The sequence below is a fragment of the Homo sapiens genome, chromosome 3 (genome assembly GCF_000001405.40).
Source record: "Homo sapiens chromosome 3, GRCh38.p14 Primary Assembly".
Lineage (NCBI taxonomy): Eukaryota > Metazoa > Chordata > Mammalia > Primates > Hominidae > Homo > Homo sapiens.
The window spans coordinates 28,167,722-28,174,396 of NC_000003.12; the positions used below are offsets into that span (position 1 = coordinate 28,167,722).

At 34.2% G+C, this 6,675-nt stretch overlaps 1 annotated feature.

Annotated features, from left to right (window-relative positions):
- Positions 4,465 to 4,554: an enhancer, noted in NCBI's record as "active region_19620". NCBI's record gives its function as "activates an Ori minimal core promoter by ATAC-STARR-seq in GM12878 lymphoblastoid cells {active_cell/tissue: GM12878}" and the evidence as "EXISTENCE:reporter gene assay evidence [ECO:0000049][PMID:35858748]".

Below are 6,675 nucleotides of genomic sequence, written 5' to 3' on the forward strand. Positions count from 1 at the left end.
ATATATTAACAGTAACCCAAAAAAAGTCTTAATGGCTCTTTCAATTTTGAACTGTTCATCATGAAATTGTGTTGATCATGCGTTGTTGTACTATGAAGTTTTTGTCAGGAAAAAAAAAGAAGTTTCTGATATCACAGGAATTCTGGGTCCTAATTAAGCAATCAGATTCAACAAAGTGTATATTAATTTAAGATCACATACCTCAGGGGCATTGAAAAGCTGAAGGCTGTTCTCTGAAAGTCATTTACAATTTGTAGTGTCACAATATCGCTGTAAAGTGTCCTAAATTGTAACTGAAAGTATCTCCAGAGGTAAGCAAAGGGAGAATATTTTAATCCTGTCACTGTAGGTCACTCAGTCTGAAAGAAATTTACTTCTTGATCCATATATAATTTTATTGTGTAATAGTTCTGTCTGCTTTTACCTAACAATGTAAGTATGTAATTATTTATTGATGTCCCTTTTACGTTACATTATGCCAGGTAATGTTATTTGTCAGCTATAATGATGAAATACAAAAAGATATAATATTTAGAAAAGAACACATTTACTGACAGACGGTATGTTTCAACAGGAGCAATAATGTTCCTTCAGGGTCTTCAGAAATATGTGAGGGCATATTTGGTTGTCCCAATTATTGGAAGACACTACCTAGTGGGCAGTGTCCAGGAATGTGAGACATCCTGCAATGTGCAGAACACTTCTATGGAATGCAGAATTGTCCAGGAGTTCACATAGCTTTAGCATCCCTCCAGACATCCATGAAGATGACATACCTTCATTACATAAGCTTAGAAGCTAACTTTGTTTTATATATTAACACAAAGTCTATCTTTGCACAATTTAAAGTTTTTTATTTATTTCTTTATTTTATTTATTTATTTATGATGGAGGCAGAGTCTCCCTGTGGTGCCCGGGCTGATCTCAAACTCCTAGTTTCCAGTGATCCTCCCATCTTGGCCTCCCAAAGTGCTGGGGTTACAGGCATGAGTCACCGCACCTGACCTATGCTTGCACAATTTATAGATTCACAGACCTTTCCAGAAATGTAACTACCCTGTAAACTGATAGAAGATTACTTTTTGTTTTGTGCAGAACTTTACAAAGAAATATTTATTTCAAAATACCATATATATCATTTCAACAAATTATGTTTCTAACTGCAATGCTGGTTATGGTATTTGAATCATCAGTACTGGACAGTCAGCATTGTTAGCTCTACCATTTGTGTGGACTCTAATTTTAAGTAAACATGTGACTACATTTTTGTTTTCTTATACAGTCTATGCCTGAACTTTCGTAATTCTTTTATTATATACTACTATCCTTTTATTTTCTTTTATCATTTATTTGTTGGTAGGGTTTTATAGTTTTGGGGTTTTTTAACATACAAATATCAGAAGACTTAAAAATCTTTGTGGCACTGAATCTGAGAGAATTGAGAACCACTGTTTAGGACAGTGTAGGTTTTCAGGATTGCAATGAAATCATAATTATAATAATAGCTGCAATTTATTGATTGTTGACTATGTACCAAGCACTGTGCTGATCAGTTAACCACTCTGGAAAAGATTGATTATTGACTGAGGGAATAACCAAAAGCAAGTAATAACTGTAAGTCTGAACTATCATTGCTTTCAGTGCAGCAAAACTATTATAGTCTCCTAATTTCAGGAGATGAGAAAGACCCTAAAAAGTACTACTCAAACTTACCTGTGTACTGCTGAACACACTCACCTGGGGATCTTATTAAAATGTAGATTCTGATTCAGTAGGTGGCTGCTGGTCTACAAATCACTTTCTAAGAAGCAAAGATCTAAAAATAAGTTTCAAATATTAATGCATCACAGGTGTACAAAATTGTTAATATTAATATAATTAAAGGAATTTTTAAATGCAAATTAAAAAGGACATGCAACACTTTCAACTTTTTCATAAATGAACATTTGCATTACTATGAGGTAAAAAATAAGAAAATACACTAGAACAAATCAGAGAAGTTAGTGAACATAACATAGAACTTGTATATATAATGAGGGACTCTCACCAAAACCTCAAAACATAAGCCCCCAAATTAGCATATATTTAACATAGAAAAATATAAATATTAGGCAAATACAATATATACTAGCATATATATAAAAATAATAAAATATGTCAATTGATCTAATATAAATATATTAAATATTATTTATTAGACTAAAACATATTAAAATAAGCAATTAGCCATAATTTTGCTCCCAGTATGCTAGCTAAAATATAGATACATATCTACTAACTTAAAGCCAGTTAAGCTGTGGAAAAATGTGTACATTGGAATTTCTGGTTGCAATATAAACAAATGTGAATATTTTGTTAGGATACTCCCAACTATTATTAAAAACCATTAAAAAGTTCATACTCTATGACTAAAAATTATTTTTATACTAAGCTACTTACAGTACCCAATAATTTACTCTGAGAAAAGAATTCACAAGAGAAAAAGATGTCTAGCGCCATAGATTAACAAATATTAATTGAGTACCTACTGTGGTCTATGCTTGAGGCATTGTTGTAGGTACCTGGGGTACACTGGTGAATGAAAAAGGTGAAGGTCTCTGCCTAGCCAGGGGAACCAGGCAATAAATGAAAAATGTAACAAGGAAATTTTATTATAGTATGTTAGAATGTGATCAGTGCTGTAGAAGAAAAAGAAAGCAGAGGAGGTTAAGAAGCATCAGACTTTTAAGATGAGGGTATAGTCAGGCACTGTGGTGCATGCCTGTAGTCCCAGCTACACAGGAGGCTGAGGCAGGAGGATCACTTGAGTGCAGGAGTTGGAGGCTGCAGTGAGCTATGATTGAGCCAACTCACTCTGGGCAACAGAGTGAGACCCTGTCTCTATAAAAAAAGGAAGAAGAAAAGAAGATAAAGGGCTAGGGTGAGGCGGGCAGGGATTATCTCAGGTTTTTAAGCTGCATGCAACATAGAACCCTTGTAGGGTCCTGAGCAGAGGAGGAGCAACAATAGTTATAATATTGCAAAAATAAAAACAACTGACAATGTGTGTTAAAACAAATGACACTGTTCGAACACAGAAGAAGAGTTTAAGACTTTGAAGATAATAGACTCCATGGAAAAATACAAAGTATTTACAATAAAATAAAAAATAACAGCACTATTTCTAGATTGAAATCATGGGACATGGAAAAGATAAAATAAAATTGAATATAATCTTTGTTTATCACCATATTGAAGTAAGAGATAAGATAGTAAAAAACAGGAGTAAGTGAATTTTTTTACATACATATAGTATAGGTGTTTTTACCTGACCAAGTGGCAAAATAAAGAAAAAAAGAAAAGAAAAGGAAAAGAAAATCTCTACATCAACCAAGTAAGTCCTCAAACTAGTAGCACTGTACGTGTGACAGCATAACATCAAAGTCACCATGACACACATTCCTATGGTCTTCTTTCCACACACTAAAAGTAGATACATTCAGGCCAAATATACAACAAAATTAAATCTTTCTTAAGGTCTGCAGAGTTCTTCCCCCTTGGACTCTTTTTTCACCTTTATATTTTACAGTGATAGATATAAGTTTCTTTCTAACTAAAAATCTATGATTCTTTGGTACTTTTACAATTAATTTAGGTGCAAACCTCTGATCTCTATCTCTGTGGCACCTATGGCAAGGCTCAAAGCTATCAGGAGAGGCAGAAAGAAGAGCTACGGGTATACAGAGTTAACAACAAACTTCAAGTATAGCTGCTTCTCCCAATTTAAAAGTAAAAATGCAACAGAAGTCTCCAAGGTCAAAATCTCCTCTGTTCTGCTCTTCTCCATGAACAACTTCTTTTTATACTCACGCAAAACCTTTGACCCCTAAGAAGCCTAACAGCCTTCATAATGATGTCTCAAAAATAACTCTTTATATGGTATCCAGTGCATAATGGATTCAGAGACATGAATAAAACATCTTAATTTTCAAGTATTTCTTTTTAAATTAATTTTTGAAAGAAAAATGTCTTGTAAAGAAAGAAGGTTTTTTTAAGGCATGCAGCTCTTGCATAGAAGGATATAGTTTTCATGGCCTGTCTTGTTAAAAATGTCCTAGTACCCATCTGATGCACACTTATTTATGGATTTTAGACTAAAAGCTCTTTTTTGCCGGTTTTCTTCACAAGCACTTATCTCGACATCCTCATTAGGTGTTTTTTTTTTCTTTTCTTTTTTGTTGAGGCCTAGTCATGCCCTTGGTACTCTCTTTTGTTCCATGCTGCAAAAGGAATGGTTTTTAAAGGCTCCCTCTCCACCAGTCCCACCTTTTTTTTCTTTGTAATTAGCCTTATTTGAGGACCAGAAAAGCAAAAGACTGGAAAAAATACAAAAACTATTGAACAAAAGATAGGATGTTTTTTCCCCCAACCATATGCCGTACAGCTCATGTACAACCTGGGTCAGATGACTTGCATATATGCCTTTAAAATGAAAAGTGAAAGAAAAAAGAAAGGAAAGGCATTGACTTACACAGCAGCTGCATTGGTATAAACAGGCTCAGAGTAAATGTCACAATGAAAGGAGAATAATACATTTTATCTTTATTGCAAAAGTAATTCACTTTAAAACCAAAGAACATGATGAAACTAGGTGCCTGATGACAATACTTGCAGGTAGCCATTTGAAATATCTTAATATTAATTTGGTTTAATTAGAATGAGAGAAACAATTTTCTTTCTTCAAATGCAAATGCTTTTTTATTGGAGCAACACACAACTGAAATTGTTCAGCTCTTTCCTTTAAAATGGGTTCATTAGAATTGTTTTGATGCAGTGATGATTAATGAAACATTTTTTCTGCCTTCTCTTTCCTTAGTTTACTTACTATTTAACAGCCTATGTCTAAGTAAAGGGCCAAGGGATTTATACTATCCTTGCCTCTAGAAACAAAATTCTAGCTTTCAAAATATTAAAATTTATAAATAATAACTGGACTTTTGGGCCTATAATAGAGTTGCTCACTTCAAAAAAAATTTTTTTGTACAAATATGGTTCTATGAAAATGATTATCAAAGGCAGCTTTAATGAGAGAAATGTTAGGAAAACTAAGGATTCTGGAAATACAGTTGTCAAGAAGCCAACCAGTCTTCTTCCCTCCTCTAATCCATGAAGAAAATACTTTATCAAAATATGGGCTTTCTTTGTTGTTTGTTTTCCATGCTGATTAGGCAAGCATGAGTCAATATCCAGAAGGAAACATAAGGCATACTCTCACTGGGTAATTTAAGGAGAGTTCAATACACAGACTATCTCCAAAGCTATGAAACAGGTTCAGGAAAACCAAAAAGGGGTAGTGTTGATATCAACTTCCAATCCTAGGCCTGAAGGGGAAAAAGAAAGAAACCACTATTGAATCTACAGAGGTAACTATGTGAAATAAATATGGCCTTTGAAAGAGACTTGTGGGCAACCCACAAGACTTGGCAATGCAGAAGGTAAAGGAACACATGCACCATCCATTCTCTCCTCCTGCCCTCTGATTTTCTGCAGATGTTTCACATTAGACAATCTCACCTGGGAACCAAAGAACAAGGAAAGCCATCCACATAGATAAACGTTCCAGGCATCAAGCAGTTGGAGACAGAATCAGAAGCAAATTAACGTTATCCTTATTTTTTTTAAGTCATCAATAAGTACCTCTTTTTCTCTGCTTTTTATTATAGATACAGCCATCTATTCTCCTTAAGCTTTCTTTTCTTTTTACATCAAATCAGTTTAATTAAATTTTTTAGGAACAATTTTGAACAGTGAGCTTATATCCTCTTAATTATTTTAGCAATTCAAAGAGCTCAAGATACCTAAAAATGTTAATGCTTTCTTCTCACCCCTATTGGGTGTACATTGATTAATGGATATAGCCATTTCACTCAGCAAGTATTTATTGAGTACTTACCATATGCAAGGCACTATCCGAGAACCATGGGGTACACAAAGGTAAATCAAGTAAGGATGCTATCACTAGCATATATCTCTGGTTTTCTCTTTCCTGCATCCCTTTCTGTTTTTTTTTCTGCCACCCATGATCAGACACAAGATTGGGCACATGATTTAGGCCTGACAATCAGTATGCCCCTTCCTCCTGACCAAAGTGATAAGCCAAGACAGACAAATTGCCTAAGTTAGATCACTACAGTTTTATTTGGAACTTTCCTGCCATATTTATCAAGAAAGAGGTACTCTTTCAAATGGAATTGTTCAGTGAAAAACATGCAGTCAAACTGAGATAAAGAGCTGAAAAGGAGAGAGAGACTAAGACTCCAGCCCAGCTATTCCTGGCCCCCATTCAACTTCTCAGTGTTCTGAGACAGTAAATTATCTTGTTTGGGATAATACGTTAGTCAAATCTTATCTGGTTACAAGGGATAAAATCATATGATTTTATCCGTTGTTACCAGATAAGATTTGACTAACGTATTATCCTCAAGAAGTTTATATGTAATAGATAAGATATGTGTGTATGCAAAACACAAAATATAGTTATAAATGGATTTTTTAAAAGATAGAGTTCAACCATTTGATTCAGCACTCCCACAACTGGGCATCTACCCAGAGGAAAAGAAGTCATTATACGAACAAGATTCTTGCACACACATGTTTATAGCAGCACAATTCATGATTGCAAAAACATGGAACCAA